This window comes from Homo sapiens, chromosome 1 (assembly GCF_000001405.40).
Source record: "Homo sapiens chromosome 1, GRCh38.p14 Primary Assembly".
NCBI classification, from domain to species: Eukaryota; Metazoa; Chordata; class Mammalia; order Primates; family Hominidae; genus Homo; species Homo sapiens.
The window spans coordinates 184,511,818-184,534,198 of NC_000001.11; the positions used below are offsets into that span (position 1 = coordinate 184,511,818).

At 37.8% G+C, this 22,381-nt stretch overlaps 1 protein-coding gene across 1 annotated transcript in view, besides 1 other annotated feature; it reads left to right on the forward strand.

The window, feature by feature from the left end:
- The window catches only part of C1orf21 (chromosome 1 open reading frame 21), a 241,991-nt gene that overhangs the window by 124,789 nt on the left and 94,821 nt on the right, over window positions 1–22,381 (forward strand). The gene's annotated exons all lie outside the window — the stretch shown is intronic.
- Window positions 8,431–8,992: an enhancer, noted in NCBI's record as "OCT4-NANOG hESC enhancer chr1:184489382-184489943 (GRCh37/hg19 assembly coordinates)". NCBI's record gives its function as "activates a minimal SCP1, AML or CMV promoter by ChIP-STARR-seq in naive H9 embryonic stem cells {active_cell/tissue: H9 hESC(naive)}" and the evidence as "EXISTENCE:reporter gene assay evidence [ECO:0000049][PMID:30033119]".

Genomic DNA, 22,381 nt, shown 5'->3' on the forward strand with positions numbered 1-22,381 from the left:
TGCATAGTGAAGGGGAGAAGAGCCCCTTATAAAACCATCAGATCTCATGAGAACTCACTCACTGTCATGAGAACAGCATGGGGGAACTGCCCCCATGATCTAATCACCTACCATGAGGTCCTTCCCCTTACAAGTGAAGATTGTAATTTAAAATGAGACTTGGGTAGGCACACAGAGCCAGACTGTATCACTTGAGTGTAAATGGGGCAGCCAAAAGGAAAAGAAGAGACAATGGTCAAAGAAAGCCTCTTAAGACTCCAAGGTCTACTTCAAGGCCCTCCCTAGGTGGTCTGTGCCCACAGGAGGCTTTGGTTTCTGTCTTGCCACTGCCCTCCTTGCTCACAGCAGGCCTCATCATCAGTGGTTCATTTTTAAAGATTCTCCATTATTCATTCGGATTATATCCAAGTTCTTTATAGTACTTAACACAACTGTTTTGGGATAACTGTGCATGATCTGCTTAATATGTGTTCCTCTTTTGGACTGTAAGCTCATGAGGCTAAAAACTATCTTTTTGGCCTATAGTTAAGTGTCTAGCACCTAAGAGTTCATAGCACCTAGTGGTTGCTCAATAATTGCCACAGACCTCCAGTCTCTTGAGCCTCTTGACATCAGGGCTGTGCAATGGAGAAGATCGTGCTGGTTTTCTGAGGCTGATGATGAATGATTTATATGTCAGTCATTTATGTACTCACAATATGAAGATGTTCATTATCCCAGTTTTCATCACTGCTTAATGTCATATATTCCACTTTGCTTCTCTCAGACTTTAATTCCATCTTAAGGATGGTGGTGTAAAGTAGTAGCATTTGCTTTGGAGAGTATACATAGGTAAGTATCAGTATGGGGCCTAGCTTCACCATTTCTAGCTTTATAATTTTGGCCAAATATCAAAAACTTTCAGACTTCAAGTTCCTCATCTGGAACCTGGAGAATCACAGAATTATTAATTATTGACACAGGGGTCCCCAAGCCTCAGACCCTGGACCAGTACCAGTCGGTGGCCTGTTAGAAACCAGGCCACACGGCAGGAGGTGAGCGGCAGGCGGGTGAGAGACCGAAGCTTCATCTGTATTTGCATCTGCTCCTCATCGCTCACATTACCACCTGAGCTCCGCCTTCTGTCAGATCAGCAGTGGCATGAGATTCTCATAGGAGAACAAGCCCTATCGTGAACTGTGCAAGTGAGGGATCTAGGTTGCATGCTCCTTATGAGATTCTTAACTAATGTCTGATGATCTGGGTGAAACAGTTTCATTCCAAAGCTCCACCCCTTTGCCACTTCACCCTGGTCTGTGAAAAAAATTATCTTCCATGAAACCAGTTCCTGGTGTCAAAAAGGTTGGGGACCACTGTATTAAAGTATTAGAAGAAATTATGTGAGAATATGTTTACAACCTAAGCAAAGGGAGGGAAAGCAAAAGCTATGAAGAAAAAGCTTTCTTTCATTACATTGAAATTAAATATTTTGGTAAAGCAGAATAACTATAAAAAGTAGTTTATGGATGGGCAAAATCCTGGGAGGAAACTTTTATGATAAATAAAAGACAAATGATTAATGACTGGGATTCAGAAGGAACATGTGAATAATTGAGAAAAAGATAATCTGTTAGAAAAATAGATAAATGAACAGATGGTTTACAGTAGAGGACACTGGTTGATAAGCGTATGAAAATACGTTCCGTATCACTAGAACAGTGGATACCCTCTTAACCAGCTCTGCAAATCTCTCTCTGAAAGATACTGGCTGCAGCCAAAGCATGCTTGCCTGGATGGCTGGTAGGCTATTCACTAGAACACCTCTATGCATTTGCTCCCACAGTTAATTGTGTGTTTTCCAAGAGCTGGTTTGCTGGTTCCCAAACTGGTTCATACTGGTTGAATGCCATTGTAATTATGTAATTTAGTTAGATAATATGTAAGCCAATGAAACACAAGTATGGAAAGAGCTGTTTCAGTGAAAATTAAGCCAAATGCTTTGGAAAGTCTTGATGAAGGCAAATTACTAAAAGCTTGGTGTTAAATTCTGTGCTCAGATTATTTCACAAGGTCTTTACGTTCCCTCTTCACATAAGAAACCAAAACAGAGAATCTTAGATGAGATGATGTGATCAGTGCAGAAGGTGAATGTGCAGCCCTAGTCAGTGGTTCCTTGCTTAAAGGAGAAGCCTTGTTCCTACATCAAAAAATGGGAGTGGGCTACGTGCGGTGGCTCATGCCTATAATTCCAGCACTTTAGGAGGCCAAAGTGGGAGGATCACTTGAGGCCAGGACTTTGAGGCCAGCCTGGGCAACATAGCGAGACTCTGTCTCTACAAAAATAAAAGTAAAAATAGAATTAGCTGTGCCTTGTGGTGCATGCCAATAGTCCCAGTGACTCAGCAGGCTGAGGCAGGAGGATCGCTTGAGCCCAGGAATTCAAGGCTGCAGTGAGGTCTGATCATGCCAGTGCTCTCTAGCCTGAGTGACAGAGCAAGACCCTGTCTCTAAAAAGAGGAAATACACATTCATATAATTTAAAAGAAAATCATATATTTAATGTATATATACCTTTAACTCACTAGATTGTTTAATTACCAGTTTGGATGGTGTTGCCTAATAGGACTTTTATTGTAATCAGAGAAATGCAGATTATGACATGATCCCATTTTTCACCCATTAGATTGGCAAAATGTTGAAGTTTGATAATATCAGATTTTGGCCTGATTACAGGAAAATAGGTATTCAAATACTAGTGGTAAACATTTTGAAGGATAGTTTAACAACATCTGTTAAAGTTTAAACATGCACACCCATAACCCAGCACTTCCACATCTTGCTGTCCACCCTAGCAGCTGCCCATGTGCATGAGGAAGCTTGCACAAGACTAGTTCACTACAGCATTGTTTATGTTAGTGAAAATTAGAAAATAACCTCCCTGCTTGTCGATACGAGAATAATACAGCTATATTATACAAGGCAGCAATTAAGAAGAATGAGTTAGAATTCTATGAGCTGCCATGGAAAAATCATGTAGATTGTGGAATGGATATGTATAGCATGATGCCATTTAAGGTTTTATTAAACAAAATAAAACAGCAACACTGTATTTTCTGTGGGTATCCATATATGTATAGTTATTCATAGATTAAAAACTGGGTGGATGTATCCCAAATTACTAACAGTGGATACCTGAGTTGATGGGGAACCTAAGAATGTAAAGACTCAGTTTCCTGCTCTGCAAAATGGGGAGAATAATTGGAGCCACTTTAGTGGGAAGTTATGAAAATTAAATAAGGTATACCTATAACCTCTTTGAACACCTCCTGGCATAGAAGATGCCATTCTTGGCTATTTTCCTGTTACTTTTATTAGTGGAGTTGGGTCAGGTGGGAATGGATTAGAAGAATTGCATGTGGTGGTTAAAGGGGATTTTTATCTTTAAACTTAATGCTTTTAATTTTTTCAAGAAAATATGAGTATATTATCTGTGTGCTTTAAAATTGATTTTTAAAAAGGGAGATAACAATAATAAAAGTCCAATATTGACTACTTGGGAATCTGCAAGTAGAATTATGACATTTTCTCTTTATCTGACATGTCCTCAGTTTTTAGTCATCTCTGAAGTCTGATTAACAGATTAGGACTGTTAGAACACAGTTAGAAGGAAACTCAAGAATCACCGGGCGTCGTTACGTAGGTTACCAGTTTTGCATATAAATGATTTAAAAGTATATTACCCCAGACTTGGCAGTATTCAGATTCCTTGGCCTCTCTAAAGTAAGTATTTTGGCAGATAAAGGACATTCCCATTTTAGTTTTTAAGTGTTCCTTCTTACTATAAAACAAAACATCATTTAAGGAAAATATTAAGGACATTAAGGAAAATTATTGCTTTAATTAACATTTGTCATTATCAGCCCATATTCCCTTAAGAATATTAAGCCATTTGATGATGGATTTTTTTATTTGTTTGTTTGTTTGCTTGTATTTCCTAGCTTTACACATATTACATTAGTTTTCATTTGTTTGTTTGTTTTGAGTCTTGCTCTTGTCCCCCAGGCCGGAGTGCAATGGCGTGATCTCGGCTCACTGCAACCTCCGCCTCCAGGTTTAAGCAATTCTCCTGCCTCAGCCTCCTGAGTAACTAGGATTACAGGCACCTGCCACCACGTCCGGCTAATTTTTGTATTTTTAGTAGAGATGGGGTTTCACTATGATGGCCAGGCTGGTCTTGAACTCCTGGCCTCAAGTGATCCACCTGCCTTGGTTTCCCAAAGTGCTAGGATTACAGACATGAGCCACCATGCCCAGCCTACATTGGTTTTTGATTTACTGTTTCCAGGTATCTATGTATAAATGAAAAGATTGTTTTCTCTTTGATGACATACAACATGATTGGTTGAGCTTTTGATTTTAGTCTTATCTATAGAGTTGAGGACTAATTTGAAACACCCTTTCACAGTCATCAATTCCTGAAAACAATTATATGACAAAATTAAAACAAACAAAACAGGGTGTTTTAATATGCATTAGCAGTAAAGGAGATTGAAATCAAGTTTTAGGCATGACTACATCCCCCGCACCTATGGAGCTTATGAGAGTTTCCTTACCTATCTCCAATGCATTAAATTTCCATTACATGTCAGGACATCTTTACTGGATTAGTCCATTTTCATGCTGCTGACAAAGACATACCCAATACTGGGCAATTTACATAAGACAGAGGTTTAATTGGACTTAAGTTCCACGTGGATGGGGAAGCTTCACAATCATGGCAGAAGGCAAGGAGGAGCAAGTCCCATCTTACATGGATGGCAGCCGGCAAAGAGAGAATGAGGAAGACGCAAAAGCAGAAGCCCTTGGTAAAACCATCAGATCTTGTGAGACTTATTCACTACCATGAGAACAGTATGGGGGAAACTGCCCCCATGATTCAATTATCTCCCACTAGGTCCCTCCCACAACACATGGGAGTTATGAGAGTACAATTCAAAGTGAGATTTGGGTGGGGACACAGAGCCAAACCATATTAACATCCAGCTGCAGAAATGAAGACTTGGAAATTAGGAGGCATCCCTGATCAGATGAAATGCTTCAGAAGCTCATATGAGCTCTTTGGAGCAGTGGCATCCAGTTGGTGAAAACTGGGAAGTGGCCCTGATCCGCAGAATAAGCTGTGGTTGAAGCAGTACCCTGTAAGGGGGCTTGTGTTTTCCGAAGCATTTGATTGATTGGCAGCCTGAAACATAAACCAGAGGATATTCTGCAATTCCATTCATTCACTGTAGGTCAGTAGGAAAGCCAAGAGCTCAAGATCACGGTCGTCATATTACTCTATTTGTTAGAATATAACTTGTGAGGAATAAAAGGCTTGTAAATGAATGTTAAAACTTTCAATCACTAATAAAATGTTTGTTATAGTAATATACATTCCCCTGTAGATATTCTCATATTTAGGAACCCTCTACAAGTCCATTTGAACTCTTTAATAAGTACTATGTTTACTTTTCCTATGACTCTGTAGAGCAGCTAATATAACAGCAAACTGACTTTTCTGTGTAAAGGTTGTTCCTGATTATCTTAGAAATGACTATTTACCTTTGAGTTCTCACTCTCAAATGCAAGGTCAAGTAATTATTTTTAGAGACCAACTAATGCAAAAGACCATGACTTTGAATAGCCCCAATTTCCCAAGCCACTTGTACATCCTTAGCACTTTTGAGAATAAAGTGAAAGAAACCAACAAGAGTGAAATAGGCAAAATGTCAAGCTATGTGAAGTACTACTTCTCTTCTCACTCTCTCCTTCTAGGGACAGATTGGATTTGAGCACAGGCTGGGTGGGGCTGGGATGAATTATAAGAGAGAGTTCTGGACTTGAGGGAGGTACTTCATAGTTTGGGGACCTCTAGAGGACTGAGGTGTTCCCCAAACTAAAGTGAAGATAGATAGTGATTCTAGGTATCTGATTCAGATAAGATATACCCTTTCCTAGACAGTTTAATAAATACCATTTTAAAGCATCAGATTCATCCCCAAAGATCTCATGGTTCTAACTCAGTAGTCTCTCTCCTTATTCTCTCATGCCTTATGTGATGGTGACATCAGCCTGAACTTCTTCCAGATAATTAAAGGAATAGTATCAGGATCCCAGACACCATCTACCTGAACATTTAGTTTCTTAAGGGAATAACCTTACTCGCAGGAGTCATTCTATTCTGTTTGTTGTGGCATAGAAGGTATAAGAGAGAAGAATGATACCCCTTCATTGATCTTGGAAGACTTCCTATATCCAGCTAGCATTTTTGTGTTACATGAGCCAAGCACATTCAAGGTCTTAGAGATTATTCTGGCATTGTGGTAATTTGATTTAGAGTAGAGCTGGAGTAGAGTTTAATTCTCTAAGGATGAGAGATTTATTAAATCAGTCTTCCAAGTTTTAAGTGTTGAACAGAAGCAAAGTTTCTGATTCGGGAACAGAATACTGGGAGAATAAAATAATGCACACAAAATTGCTTTGTAAACAAAAAGCCCAACAAATTATAATGATTATTGTTATTGCTAGTTAAAAGGACACCTGGCTTCATTTCTGTTCATTGCTATTTTGTAGTGGAAACAAAGTTATGGCACAGCATGCTTGTGGGTGTAGGTAAGAGTTAATACCTACTTCCCTTGAAGAAAGAGTTATATCTTCATATCACACTTCAATCTCCTGTGAAGAAAGGATGATATTAAAGTATATCTCAACTTAACATACACAGAAATTAATGACTCCGGTGGCTTTTGAAGCAACTACATGACTGCAATCCTGTTTTAAATGTTTTTTTCTCTTCTACATGCTCAACACTGAACTGACCATATTCAGGTGAACACAGTGTTAGTGTCCCAGTACAACATATCTCTTGAATCCATTTCTATTTCAGTGTACTCTCACTGCCATTTAGGCATAATATAGGCACTGAAAGTGTGTAAGGATTGACAATGCACAGTTGCAACTCTCAGGAAACTCAGGAGGAGATAGATAAACATACTGTGAGTCTCTGATGGAGGTTCTTGAATGAGAACAGGGCCTCAAATGAGACCAGGTTTTCATTGGCATATGAAATTGGGAAACAGATTTCAAGCAGAAGGAATAGTGTCACCCCGGCATGGAGACGTGGCATGAATAACGAAGTGGTTTGGGAGGCTGATGGAATAATTTAGGAAGTGTTTATTTGGCTAGCTGGGTGTTTTTTTCCTGTCAGCACATTAATTTTTGGTTTACCAATAGTCACATTGTTTGGCCAGTTTGCAGTATTTGTAACGACAGAATAAATAGAACAGACCTCTGCTGGTCTAATTTAAAGATTGGGGTGTTGATAATGACTTCCCTTTTCCCAGCATTGTTATAAAATGTGATTGCTTTTAAACATGCTTTCCTTAGATGCAGGGTGCTATCTAAAAGTGGTTGAACAGATTTACTCTTGACCTCCTCCTGTCCAGTAAAGGATAGCATCTAGTTTATCCCCTGAAACTTTCCTGTTTAACTTTTGGAAATACAGCAACATAAACAATACTTTAGATTTCTGGCCTCTTCTCTAAGAGCAGGACCCTGATATTTAAGTAGAAAGTAGAAAGAAGCTCTCTTCAAAGCTTGATCCTGTTTGATCTACATGGTCATTTTAGATAGTGGATTTATTTATCTCACTAAAACATGAGCATTTTTTATATGCAAGTGGCCCCATTGAGACACCTGAGTCGGGGGAAATGAGTGACAATTGAGAGGGCCACCTTTAAGGCTGGGCCACTGTTACTAGAGTACCCAGAACAATAACACAGTGGTGTTACTTTCTGCAGGTTGTTCAGATTTCTCTCTTATTCCCTATGTGTTGCTAAAAATAAAACCACAGCATATAAATTTCACTCATCTATTGGCAAACTCAGTGAGGTAGCTTCACCCAACATTAATAATTTATGCCTTGGAGGTGAGAGTATCAAAAGCAACCATTATGTTTCCAGGAGTCTCGGCTCCGGTAAGCATCTCTTCCTGTCGACTTCATTTGTGAGCAAATAATACCCAGTATTAACGGAGATACAGGATTCACCAGCCTTATGATTTTTATTTTTACCAGGTTTTTGGTAGTTCTGAAAATGGAGTTTATTCTTGTCATCCAGAAAACATAGAAATAAATAATGAGGCATAAAAATTTCATACATCTTCCTTGGAGGGAGGAGGAATATTGTTTAGCTTGTCAACATTATAATAAGTATATGAAGGTACCATTATAAGTGCCTGCTTCATGTTCATAATAGGATTAATGTATTTACTCAGTGCTCTGTATGATAACAGATGCCAAATTTCTTCCTTCTTTGAAAAGTAAAACAATTGATAATGACAACAATATTTCCCAAAATGTAATGAGATGACTCCGTTTTTTGGTTCCTGTTCGAGTGTAATGGTACATTACAGAGTCTCATTTACTGGCAAACTTCTGCTTATAACTGGATAACTTGAGAGCTTGCTTAATTTTAGGCAAATACTTCTTTTAGAATTTTTACAGTTGAGTGCATAAAATGAGACAGGAATCTGGTGAGTGGAACTGGAATATGAGGTAGGGCTTGGTCTCAGAAATGAAGCTGAAGATTCATTATTAGCACATGGGTCTGACATTATCAGGCCAGGTTTCCTTTGCTTCTCCTGAGTATGAGGCACAATGAAACCTAAAGGAACAGCAGGGAACGCCAACTGCAGACAAAGAGAACAGAGAATCTCATTCTAATGATTCACAGCGATGCCTTACTGCTCATAATGTTTCAGCTCAAATCAAACAATCTCTGCTGGCCAGGAGATGGCCATCTAGTGAGACAAAGTAAACCACCCATAGCTAATGGATTGGTTTACTCCTGTTATTTTCTTATTTATTGTACTTTAAATAATTGTACTTTATTTAATTGTACTTTTAAAATTAACCTTTCTCTGTTTGTAAACATACTACTTGCTTGAATTACTTTAAAACATACTTTGGGAAATACAGAAGTGAATAAAAAATAAAATCAGGCATAAACCCCATAACAATCATTTATGTTTTTATGCCTAATATAAATAGAAATACAGAAATATAACTTTTTTTTTGAGATGGAATCTCGCTCTTGTTGCCCAGGCTGGAGGGCAATGGCACGATCTTGGCTCACTGCAACCTCCGCCTCCCGGGTTCAAATGATTCTCCTGCCTCAGCCTCCCGAGTAGCTGGGATTACAGGCATACGCCACTATGTGTGGCTAATTTTGTATTTTTAGTAGAGACAGTGTTTCTCCATATTGCTCAGGCTGGTCTCGAACTCCTGACCTCCACTCGCCTCGGCCTCCCAAAGTGCTGGGATTACAGGTGTGAGCCACTCACTGCACCCGGCCAATATAATTTTTTTTCTAAACAAAATAGATCTGAATTTCTTACAATGCTAAACATAATCTTACCATATGTCTAGAAATCGTGCTCCCAGGGTATTTTCCCAACTGATTGGAAAAACTGTAACCATACAAAAACCTTTATGTGAATGTTGGTAACAGCTTTATTCATAATCACCAAAAACTGGAAGCAACCAAGGTGTCCTTCAATAGATGAGTGGACAAGCTGTAGTACATCCAGACAATGGAATATTACTTAGTAATAAGAAGGAATGAGCTACCAAGCCATGAAAAAAACATGGATAAGTGCATATTGCTAAGTGAGAAAAGCCAGTCTGAAAGATACACACTGTATGATTCTACTTGCATGATATTCTGAAATAGGCAAAACTGTAGATTTCCAGAGATTTGTACAAAAAAGAAGGGTGTATAGGTGAAGCACAGAGGATTTTTCTTTTAGGATGGTGAAACTATTCTGTATGGTACTGTAATGGTAGGTACATGTTACTATACATTTGTCAAAATTCATAGAGCTTTATAGCAAAGAGAGTGAAATTTAACGTACATAAATTAAAAACACAAACAAAAATGAAAGCCTGGGGATCTCGGTATAGAATGCAGACTGTGACAAAAGAGTCTAACAGTATTACAAATATGTGAAATAAACTTACTGAAGGAGATTGAGGGAAAGATGCTAACCTAAGTAACTTTGGAAATCAACGAAGACTGTGAGACCAAAACTAAAAGCAACCATACATAAGCACTGTACTAATTTTTACTATGGAGGTAATAATTAACAATTCTGAAAACACTATAAATGTATACTGAACTGAACAATTAAATATTGGCTACTGGATGGTGAAGCCAGGTTTCTCACTGTTGGAGTGGGAGGTTACAGATATTTAACAGGGGATGGCTAGAATGATCCTGTGGCAATAGATTAGAGTTAGAGATGTCAGTATGAATTGATGCTTAGCTTAATATAGATACAGATGGAAACATGGAAAAATATTAATAGATATTTGTACATACATGTGTAAATACATATAATGTATATAGGCATGTATATATGTATAGATACATGTATTTATACATGTGTATATGGTTGCAAAAGTGTAGGTACATGTATGTATACACTTATTTTATTGCTCTGTCAGTTGAGAGGGCCTAGAAGCAATGACACCCCAGTAGCAATAAGCATACCCACATCCAGATCTTGTTTCTAATACCATTCTCCAATAAAAGGAACTAGGGCTTCTTGAAATGTCTGAGTCTAGGGCTGGAGAATATGTAAGAGGCTCCTGGTGCGTCTTGTAGTGTCAGAAAGTTAGGAAGTGTGTGTATGCACATACACACAATATGATGGGATATGTCAAAGGGATACGGGAGCCCACTGAAAAGCTCCAGTGACCAAAGCTGAAATAATTTGAGCAACAAAATATGTAATGTAGTGTTAGATTACACTATTAATCTAGTGGAGAATACAAACTATATACTTTATTTTGTATTGTATTTATTTTTGAGACAGAGTCTCACTCCGATTTGCCCAGGCTGGAGTGCAGTGGCGCAATTTTGGCTCACTGCAGCCTTGAACTCCCAGGCTTGGGCAATTCCCCCACTTCAGCCTCCTGAGTAGCTGGGACCACAGGCATATACCACTATGCCCAGCTAATTTTTTGTATGTTTTGTAGAGACAGGGTTTTGCCAGTTGTCCAGGCTGGTCTTGAACTCTTGAGCTCAAGCAATCCACCTGCCTCGGCCTCCCAAAGTGCTGGGATGACGGGCATGAGCCAGTACGCCCAGACTTACAAAGGGTACACTTTATACAGAGTATAAAATAAATATCCATGAGTCCATACTGATGTAAATGATTGAATAAATACATGCAGGCGAATTGATAAATCTGTGCAGAGTAATTTCATATCATTTATGTAGATAGTCTACCCTTGAGGAGGTGGAACATTACTTCTCAATTAGTAAATGTAGATTGCGCATAATGACTTCGTTGCAAGAGTACAGTATGGAAATTAGGAAAAAATGAGAACTTTACAGTGGAGAAACCTGACAATACCTCAGCCAGGTGATCAAAATTAATGTCAGTAGTGATAAGTCATGTTAATAGCATGTATCCTTGATGTGCTGTGATGAGAATGGCATTTTATCTCTGTGGTCTTCCACCCCAAACCTTGAGCTTCAGTATAATCATGAGAAAAATGTGCTTCAATTGAGGGGCATTCTACAAAATATCTGACTGGTACTCCTGAAAACTATCAAGGTCATCAGAAACAAGGAAAATCTGAGAAACTGTCACAGCCAAAAGGAATCTAAGGTGACACAGCAATTAAATGTGCCATGGTGTCTTAAATGGGATCCTAGAACAGAAAAAGGACACTAAATAAAAACCGTAAGGGAGTGTCTTATCAATGTTACTTGATTAATTGTGACAAGTGTATTATCTAATGTCAGATGTTACTAGAAGAGAAAGCTAGGTATGGGGTATATGTAAATTCTCTGTACTATCCTCACTTTTGTGTAAGTCTAAAACCGTAATTTAAGGTATAAAATTTGTTTAAATATGAAAAAGGACCTATACCATACACACTGTGAAATGCCATTTGAATATGCCATAATTTAACTAATACTTTAATGAACAGTGTTCTATAATACTTTGTATCTCCAAGCATTCCATGAGGATAAACCACTTTATGTAGGGTTATTGAGACAAAAAGGTTTTTTTGATATGTACTCCAAATGAGCCTCCCTCCAAAAAAGAAATCTTACGTCAACTTGTCTTCCCACCACCAAAATATGAGCATGCTGATTTCTTTTGACTTTTTACCACTACAGGTAATTTTACAAGTTTCAGTTGTTATTTATAAACAACTAGTATCTTTTTGTTTTGATTTGTACTTTTTGATTACTATAGTAATGAGTTTGCACGTTCTAAAATGTGTTTATAAGCTGGAGTGTAAGGTCCACAAGGGTGAGATCCTTGTCTGTTTTATTCAGGACCTGACAAAGAGCAGGTACTAATAAATATTTGCTGAACAAATGAATATACTGTATTTCATACATTTCCCTTTGACTGGAATCTTAAGTTTTCCTTTCATTGGAATCTAGAAAAAAATTAGAACTAAAGACTTTGTTAATTCTATTCTTACGTATGAATATAAAACTATAAGACTGGGTACCTTCATGGAGAATTCCTAAGTAATGACCTCCTTAAACCTTACTTAGATAAGTTGACTCATCCTTTATTATGTTGCATTTGAATTTGAGCCAAGATTGTACCCCACAAGAACATTGCATAAGATGGAAAAAAATCATGACATTGGCTGGAATTGTCCCAGATTAAAATATTCTTCTAAAATCACTCATCTACTCATCTATCTGTACATTCTTCCATTCAGTTAGAATATAGAACTGGGTTTTTTTATATAGAACTAGGGTTTTTTTTAATGACTTTGAAGTATTCATTAGTTATTCCAACAGTATTGAATTAGACAAATAAATACAGCTGGACAGTATAGCTTCACTGGCTGCTAGATGATTTACGTCATTCAACAAATTTCAAACCCCTAAAGAGGAGCACCCTTCCTCAATGATGTGGACTAGGAACATCAAAATGTATACGGTTTCTGCTTCAACCTAAAGGCAGCTTGTAGTCTAGTAAATGATGAGAGAATTGAGCAGGGACTAAAATCTTTAAGTGGGCATTATTGGTTTTATTATAGAAAATATTTTCATAGCTTACTTCTTAAAATATCCATTAGTCTGAGGAGTACATTGAGATTACCTCTTAAAATAACAGTATTTTCTGAGTTGGAAGAATGGCAAATTTTTTTCTCCCTAAAGAGTGAAAGTCTCTTACACATCATGTTTTTGCAGTATGGTGATATTTTGCATTGTTTAGGCAAAAATAAACATACCTGCAGGGATAAACAGAAAAAAAAAACTCTTGTTTTAAACATAGGGTTAACCATTAAAACCTCTATTTTATTTTTATATAAATTTTGGTTATTCTTGTAATTATTCTTGGATGATTATTCTCATACCATTGGTTTCCATGGAAAGTTGACTTTCAGTGATAACATCTTAATTTGTCATCGAATTATCATAAAATGTATATAGTGTGCTCTTCCTACTATATTTCAGTGTGATTGAATTATGATTTTCCAACTTTACTAGTTTTAATTTTATTCCTTTCTTTGGTGACCTCTTTCCTTTCCATCATTTAGCTTTTCTATTTGTTTGTTTTTAAGCCAAGAAATCATCCGTATCATCACTGAGAAATATTGGCTTGGGGTTCCGACTGTATAATCAAAAGCCATATCAAGGTTGTGATATGCACAGGAACTTAGTGATCTGATCATGAAACACACCTGTAGAATAACCTATGAGAGAAGTTTGCTGGTGTTAACTGACCAGAAGGATATGAGGGATTATCTCTGGGTGGTAGGGTTATGGGAGATTATTTTTAAAATTCTTTTCTACATTTAAAAAGGTTTGCCCCTTAGTGAAAGGTATTACTTTACAACTCAGGAAAATAAAATTATACAAAAAGCATTTAAAACACAAGGATTTACAGCTGGGCAGAACAGCAGGCTTTCTGCCAGATCAAAAGCCTGTTGCTTTTCTTCTTATAATGGACATTCTGTGAGAGGAAGGAGAATGTCCAGTCACCTAATTTCCATCTCTGTGGAGCATCAGTGGAAACTTCATTCTGCTGTAGATGGTAAATTAATGATTGTAGCAATATATAATTTCAGGACTTTATAAGGTAAATACATTCACCATGTGGACAAATTACTTTGGCTTTTTAGTTCTTTAAAAGATACAGTGGAAGTACTGTTGTGAAGCTATTCCCATTATTTAGGAAAGTGGCAGTCATTTTAAAATTGTATTGTTAGAGTTAATGACAGAAAATGTTGAGTTAACCATATTGTCCAAGGAATGGAGTGTGCTGATCATTCTTGCCTTATTGTTGAAGGTTTTCTGAAATATATTTGCTTTCTCCTTGTTAGTAAATACAGGATTTTAAACATTAGTGAATTTTTCTTCATGATTCAATATCTTGCTTTGCCTTAAGGTCACTGTTAAAAACACCAAAAAACTGAACAATAGAATCAGAAGCTGAGGATGTTTGACTAATTCTTTGCTAGCCTTCTGACATCCCCTAGAAAATATTTTTACAATAATTTCTTTTATACTAAACCTACAGGTATTTTTGAAGCATCCTCCCATCCCCAGCATTTTATTCTTTTACTTGGGATCATTAGTGCTGAATTCTCTCTTAGCTTGGGTAGAACTTGGCAGGTAATACAAATATAAAGCAGGTTGTCATCTTTCTAAAGCTGGTCAGGGACTAAGTCATGTTTTGGCTATTGTTTTAAAAAATGAGAATTGTTTGACAACTTTATGGCCAACTAACTCCAAGTATATCTAATAATTTTGCAAAAACCTACTCTGTTTTCTGGATTAAAAATAAAAGCATCAGCTTTGGAACATAACACTTACCGGTAGCCTATTCATTGAGAAATAGCCCAAAATCTGAATAGAATGTTTATAGAGGTAAGGAAGGGAGAACCGAGGGAAAGAAAAGGTCTCAACCCCCTTCATTCATTCATTCATTCATTCACTCCCTCAACAAGTATTTATTAATCACCAGCTACCTGCCAGCTACTGTCCTTGGTTCTGGGTATTATAAGTAAAACCCGCAGTCCCGTCCTTAAGGGGCTCACTGTCTAAGAAGGAGGAGGCAAGCCAGTAAGCAGGCAGTTTCCATGAAGTATGCTAATGGGCCTAACAGGGAAATGCATCATATTATACACACATAACCCAAACTTAGAACATCAGGGAAGCCTTCTTAATGGAGGGGCCCCCTTTATGCTCTCATTTAGCTAAACTACCTTCAGCATCAAAGCTCTGTGAAAAACAGTATCGAGAAATACCATGTCCTGATGCTTAATCCTTTGTACTTAGCAAATGATGCTCCAGTGTTGACTGGTGAGTCTTGGGAATATCCTCTATGCCAGAAGTGTTTGTGCATTCACCAAGTAATTGTTGGGTCCTTATCAAGTGTGGCAGCTATGCTTAGAACAAGGAATACAGCAGTATACAAAATAGCATAAAACATGGTCTTTGCTTTTGTGAAATTCATAGTCTGGAAGAAACAGGCTGGTAAAGGAGCATAAAAATAATATATTACACACTGACTTATAAGCACAAATTAGTGTCTAAATGACAGCAGATGAGGGAACAATTGATTATGTCTCAGAAGGTATGGGAAAGTGGAGCCTTAAGGGCTGAATAGGTATTTAAAGAAGATCAGGTGAGGAACAGCGGGAGCAGAGGCCAGGGACTTAAAAGATGAGGGTGTCCACCCAGAACTGTCCCAGATTTGGAGTGATGGGACCGGGAGTAAGGTTCGGGTTGTGAAAGACTTTGTATACTCTCCTAACAAAATGGGACACGCTGTCCTACTGTGGTGAAGAACCTGGCTGTGAACTCAGAGAAACCCAGATTTAGATATAGGCCCTGTCACTTACTAGCATGTTACCTAACCTCTCTGAGCCCAACTTTTCTGAGTCCTCAGGAAAGTGTAGTTTATAGTAACTACCTAACAGGATTGTTGTAAGGGCTATCTGAGATAAGGTCAGGAAAGCACTAACACAATGCTTGTCACATAGCAAACACTTAATAAATGTTAGCAGTTAATTTTATTTACAGTTTTATCCCATGGACATTGGAAAGCCATAGAAAGTTATTATCTTGCTGTTGTCACCCCATATTCCAGAACCTCTTTGTGCATCCTGTTAAAATATTGTTTTGATGATTAAACAAGTTAATATTTGTAAAGTGCCTAGAACGGTGCCAGGTATATAGTAAGTGCTGTGTAAGTGTTTATTCCATATTTTAAGTTAATGAAATCTGCTAAGCAATAGAAATAAAATTTTTCCACTTTACAGATGAGTAAGCAGAATTCAGATAAGTTAAACTTCTTTTCTAAAGTAATATAACTAGTAAAGTATGGAACCAGTATTCAATCTCTGTCTCATTTCATATTATAGCAGCTGCACCTTAAAATATGATTTTAAAAGACATACCTAGTCCTATCATCACAACACATTTTTCATTTTTGTGAGATGCTTTCCATCTTTGCCCAGGTGCAAGTAATAGTTTTTCCAGAATTGTAGGCATAGCCTGCATAAATTTTGCATTCCACTTTTTTCTTAGCATTATATCATTTTCCTTCTTTTCTTTTCTTTTCTTTTTCTTGAAACAGAGTCTCACTGTTGTCAGCCCAGGCTGGAGTGCAATGGTGCAATCTCAGCTCACTGCAACCTCTGCCTCCCAGGTTCCAGCAATTCTCCTGTCTCAGCCTCCCGAGGTGCTGAGATTACAGGCGCCTGCTACCACGCCCGGCTAATTTTTGTATTTTTAGTAGAGACAAGGTTTCAGCATGTTGGCCAGGCTGGTCTCGAACTCCTGACCTCAGGTGATCCACCCGCCTCAGCCTCCCAAATTGAGCATTATATCATTTTCTATTTTCCTTTATAGTCATTGTGTTAAATTTTAATGGATGTGTAAAAGCACATCAAATTGATTTTCCTTAGCTTTTATCTTGCTGTTGGGTATTAGTCTATTTCCTGTTTTTTGTTATTATATATTACATAATACTTCTGTAAGCATATTCCCAAATACAGCCATTCTCTTCTGTTGATTTATTTCCTTAGATAAGTTTCCAGGAATGGGATCATTGGATTGATGAATATGAATCGTTTTATTGTTTTGGACATATATTGCCTGGTGCCTTCCACCAGCAGTATATGGAGATTGCCAATTTCAACACTGAGATAAGAGGCAGAATTGATACCCTTACTAGCAATGAGAATTTTATTTTTTTTAATTCTTGCCGATTTACTTAAGAGTAAAAATGATACCTCAAGGCCATTTTATTTTTTGCATATTTTGATTATTCTTTAAAATAGATTGCTGGCTAATTTATTTCCTACTCTCTTTTCTGCTTTCTTTCTCCTCTAGTTTTTATTATTCAATTAGTAACATTTCTTGAGTGTTTACTTTGCACCAGATCCTGTGCTTCATGTTTTGAATACAAATGTGAAGTGAAAGATACAGGATTTTATGTCTGGTAGGGGAGATATTTGAGCAAATAGACTTCAGCTTTATGTGATAAGGACTTTGATAGGTGTCCACATATAATAAGAACATAGAGACATGGAGGAGAAGAACAATCAAACTTCTTGGCTGTCAAGATATTTTGAAACATATATAGATTCTATCTGTACATATGTATTTATGAGTATACTTAACAGGAAGTTGCATACAGATATGTGTTTGCACATGCACCCATGTGTATCAGACAAAAATCTGGAGATGTATCATATTGGATCATTATTATCATGGGATGACAAAAGGACCCATGCCCAAAGATAGGAGCAACGACAGATAAGAAGATGGACAAAGAGCAGTCCAATAAAGGAGAATGAAAGAAAAAGGCAGTCAGGTGGGAGGAAAATCAGAAGACAGCAGTGGAAGGAAGGAATTTAAAGAAGTGAGGAGCGGACCAGATTGGGCTACTTAGAAGTCATTGGGTCTGATATCTTTTTACCTTTGAATGCCATTTGGAATGTGAATATCTTGTCCCTATGTGGGTATTAACTTAGTAGAGAAGAAGCCTGGGCTTTAGGGTCAAATAGACCCTGGTTCAGATCATGGCTTTGCAACTTATTAGCTGCATGACCTTGGCCAAGAATCTTAACACCTTTGCACTCTTTACCATATCTTACTTTTACACGCTTCACCTTTAAAATATCTTACAAGGGTGCTAGAATTAAATGAACTGATGTCTCTAAAATGCTTAATGCAATGCCTGGTACATAATAGGTCCTTTGCAAATAGTAGATGCTTTAGTTATTAGTAATCTAAATATAGTAGTTATTATTTTAAAACATATCCCATACATGCTCTATTCTTCTAGTCGTAACTAGTCTTAGAGAGGTAGAAGAATGAAGTAGTTAAGAGCCGGACTAAATCTCAGTTATTTAGCTCTGGGCCTTGGACAAGTTATCTCTCTGGGCCTCAGTTTCCTCATCTGTTAGATGGAGACAATAATGGCACCCACCACATAGATTTATTTTTAGCATTAAGAATGGTGCCTGCTGCATAATAAGTGCTGCATCAGTGATAGCTTTGATGATGACAATGATGATGATGACAGTGATGATGAAGGCAATGATGATGATGATGATGACAGCTACATCTTTGGACCAAATAACTTTACTCTATTTTAATAATATAAGTAATTCTGTGCCTTTTGAGTTCTTTTTATGCTTTCCCTTGGTCATACTTCATTAATTTCTCCCGAGAGTCTTAAAAGTCTCTTTTTTCTTTTTTCTTTTTTTTTTTTTTTTTTGAGCTGGGGTTCACTTCTATTTCTCTTTTGTCTATTTTGTTTCAATATTTTCATCAGCTATTAGATTCATCAAGCCCAACACTTATGACTTTTTTTTCCTTATAGCTATTTTTATTCAGCAACTATCCTACCTTGAATTTATGATCTTGCTTACTTATTTCCAAGTGGAAAACTGACTTCATGATCACCCATACCCTACTGAACGTCAGTATCCTCCCTTTAAGAGATTGCCCCTTTTCTTCTGGTATTTGGGGCAACAGTCTTGATATTTGTAGAAATGGCATTGTGGTAATATTGATGCAGGCAGAAACATTTTGGGATACCTACGGCCATTTAAATATTATGTAGGTTTTACCCTCTTCCCAAGTCCCCAGTCCCTATACTCCCACTCTCCTGTTTTCTCATTAGAATTGGTTTTTACAGCGGGAAAAACTAAAGCTATACAAATTTCCACCTGTTTCAAAGTGATCTGGTTTTAGACTTAAAAAAGCTTTTTTCTTTGCCTAAAACAGATAGGGCTTCATGTGTTTTTCTGCTTACAAATATAAGAGAACACAGAGCATTTCCCATCTTTACACCACAGATATTTTGTATCTGGCTTTGGTGTTAACTTCTGGAAAATCGACTGTCTTTCATTTGTTCCTTTCTTCTTAGAGACTCCCATTGCTTGCAGGTTACATCTCTACACTCTATTTTCTATGTCTGCCATCTTCTCTCTCCTTCTTTCAACCCTCCATATGTATTTCTTGTATCTATTTCTGATTCACTAGCCCAGTTTCCTGCAGTGTTGATTTTAATGTTTACTATATGCAGTGATGATCTTATTTTGTCTCTCATAGAATGAGTGTATCCTGGTCTGTTCCTGTGTCTTAATGGGAATATTTCTCTCTCCTTAAGAATGAATAACAGCTGTTTCCTGAATAACTTTTTCATGTGATGTCCAAGGTTTATTTAAGGCGGGCTATAATTGCTTATAAAATCTTAGTTTTCCATTTTTCTTTTGGGCTACATAACTTTCTCATTAGGGCCAGATTTTTTTTTCCATTTTCTTATACTTCCTCTCCAATTTTTGGAGTGTTTATCATATGGAAGCCGACTTTAAATTTCATTTCCTTCAGTTTTGGAGGGTCAAGAGCAGGTCAGTCAGAGATGATCTCTTTTTTCCCCACAGCTCACCTTTTCAGGAATTAACAGTGCACTTCCTACAGCTGAGATTGTATATCAGACAATTTTAATGAGACATTTTTATCTTGGCCCGACCACATGGTTACTCCCAATGTTTATCTCTTAAACAGGTTAGAGGAGAATTCTTAGAATTTTGTGCCTCTAATGTAGCTTAAAAATAAAAATTTTTTCAATTCTTATTATTTGTGTTGGTATACATTTGATTAATTGATTGAACTTTTCAGACAATTTCATGTAGGTTTTTTTTTTTAATTTAGGGAGAGGAAGCTCTCCCTTTCTATTCTGATTTTCCCTAGAAAGCCAGAATTTAGCATTGGATAATAATAAAATCTAGATCTGGCATGGCATGGTGGCAGAGTTTGGAGTGAGAGGGAAATGGCTGCAGATTCTGATCACACTCAGCTCACTTGTGTGACCTTGAGCAATTAAACAAATATTTCTGACCCTCAGTTCTTTCAACTGTAAAACAATAAAAATAATACCCGTCTTACAAGATTGTTGTAAAGATGAGATATGGAAAGCACCTAGCAAGTTTCCTGTCACTTGGAAGGTTTCTAGTAAGTGACTGCTGCTATTATTAGTAGTGTTATTAAGTTCAAAGTGGTGAGAAAGCACTGTCAGTTCTATGATTATATGGGTATGAGTCAAAGATTGGGAGAGGCCAGGCATTATGGCTCATGTCTGTAATACCAGCACTTTGGGAGACTGAGGCTGGAGGATCACTTGAGGCCAGGAGTTTGTGATCAGCCTGGGCAACATAAAAAGACGCTGTCTCTACTAAAAATTAAAAAAAATTAGCCAAGCCTGATGGCATACAGTTATAGTCCCAGCTACTCAGGAGGCTGAAGCAGGAGGATCTCTTGAGCCTGGGAGTTCAAGTTTACAGTGAGCTATGACTGTGCCACTGCACTTCAGCCTAAGCAACAAATCAAGAACTTGTTTCTTAAAAAAAAGATTTGGAGAACTCTGACTCCAACTTCACAGTTACAGTTTTTATTGTAGAAAAATTTTGAAACCACTGGACCAAGTCAGAAAAATGAGGCTCTGCCAGAATCTGTCTGTGTGATCTTGGCCAGGTCACTTCATTTTGAGGTTTGGCGTCTTCATCCATATATTGAAGAGGTGGTGCAACAGTGATGACTTCTTCCTGTCACCTTTTTGTAGGTCTGCAAGCTTCTTACCACCATCATGAGTATTAAAGTCATCTTTTGTTTTTGTTTTTTAATATATAGCTAATCATGTCATTCCCCAGTATAAAGCCCTTCCTACAGTGGCTTCCTGCTGCTCCCGGGTAATAACCTGAGCAGGGATGACCTCTCACTCCTCTCTGGGGTCCTCTCTCTCCCTTCCCTCTGGCTCAAGCTCTGGCCAAGCTCCTTCCCCACTAGAGCCTGCACTCCTGCAGCTTCCTCTCTTGACTGCTCCCTGACCCCTCCCACCACATCCTCTTCCCCACACAGGTTTCATTAGAGCATGGAACCCTATACTTCCCCTTTGTAACTCATATCATAATCGTAATTAAAGTCCTGTTTGCTCTAGGCCCCTACTTCTAGGTGGTTAATAGCTGTTTCCCCAGTACCTAGCCTACTGCCCTAGCAGGTCATAAGTGCTGGATAAATATTTGCAGGATGAATGAATGAATGACTGTGATCTTGAACATAATGTTAAAGAAGGCATGGTCTTTTATTTTTAATACTTCCGGTAGATCCAAGACTTAGGCAGGTTGGATGCTAAGAAATAAGGCTTCATAACAACTTCAAAAATAAATGTTCCGACATGATTTTTTTTCAGCTATTGGTTCTTTGACAAAGAATAAAGTAAAATTAAATTATATTGCAATCCTCATTTCAAGTAAGAAGTGACTAGTTCTGTATACCTTTCCCAATTACAAATATCCCCAACTCTGGGAACTTGCTCCACACAATCCCCCATAAAATGTCCTTCAGGAAAGGGTGAATGGATGCCAGCCAGTTCCACAGGAGGCCCTGGCCGGGGCTGGGGAGTGGGCAGTGAATGGGGTATGTGACGGAGCATTTTCTTCAACATTTGGTGTGTACGTCTCTACCTTGGGCTGCCTTTGTTTCTTTGCCATATCCAGACTTGTACTTGGTCCATGATACTCAGACCTATGGGGACAGAAGTTGGTTGGCAGAGTAAAGTCATGTGAATGGTTCTGATTCGACCCAAGAGTGGGGTGGGATCTGTCTGAGAGAGCATTCACCAGGGCAGTCCTGAATTTCTGAGTTGTCTTTGAATCCCTAACACCTGGCCCACAGTAACCACTCTGAATAGTTTCTTTCTTTCCCGTCTCTGATAATAATGCCTTTCATTTATGTGTCATTGCATAGTTTATAGAGTGCTTTTACAGTCACTAGCTCATTGGAGCCTCACACAC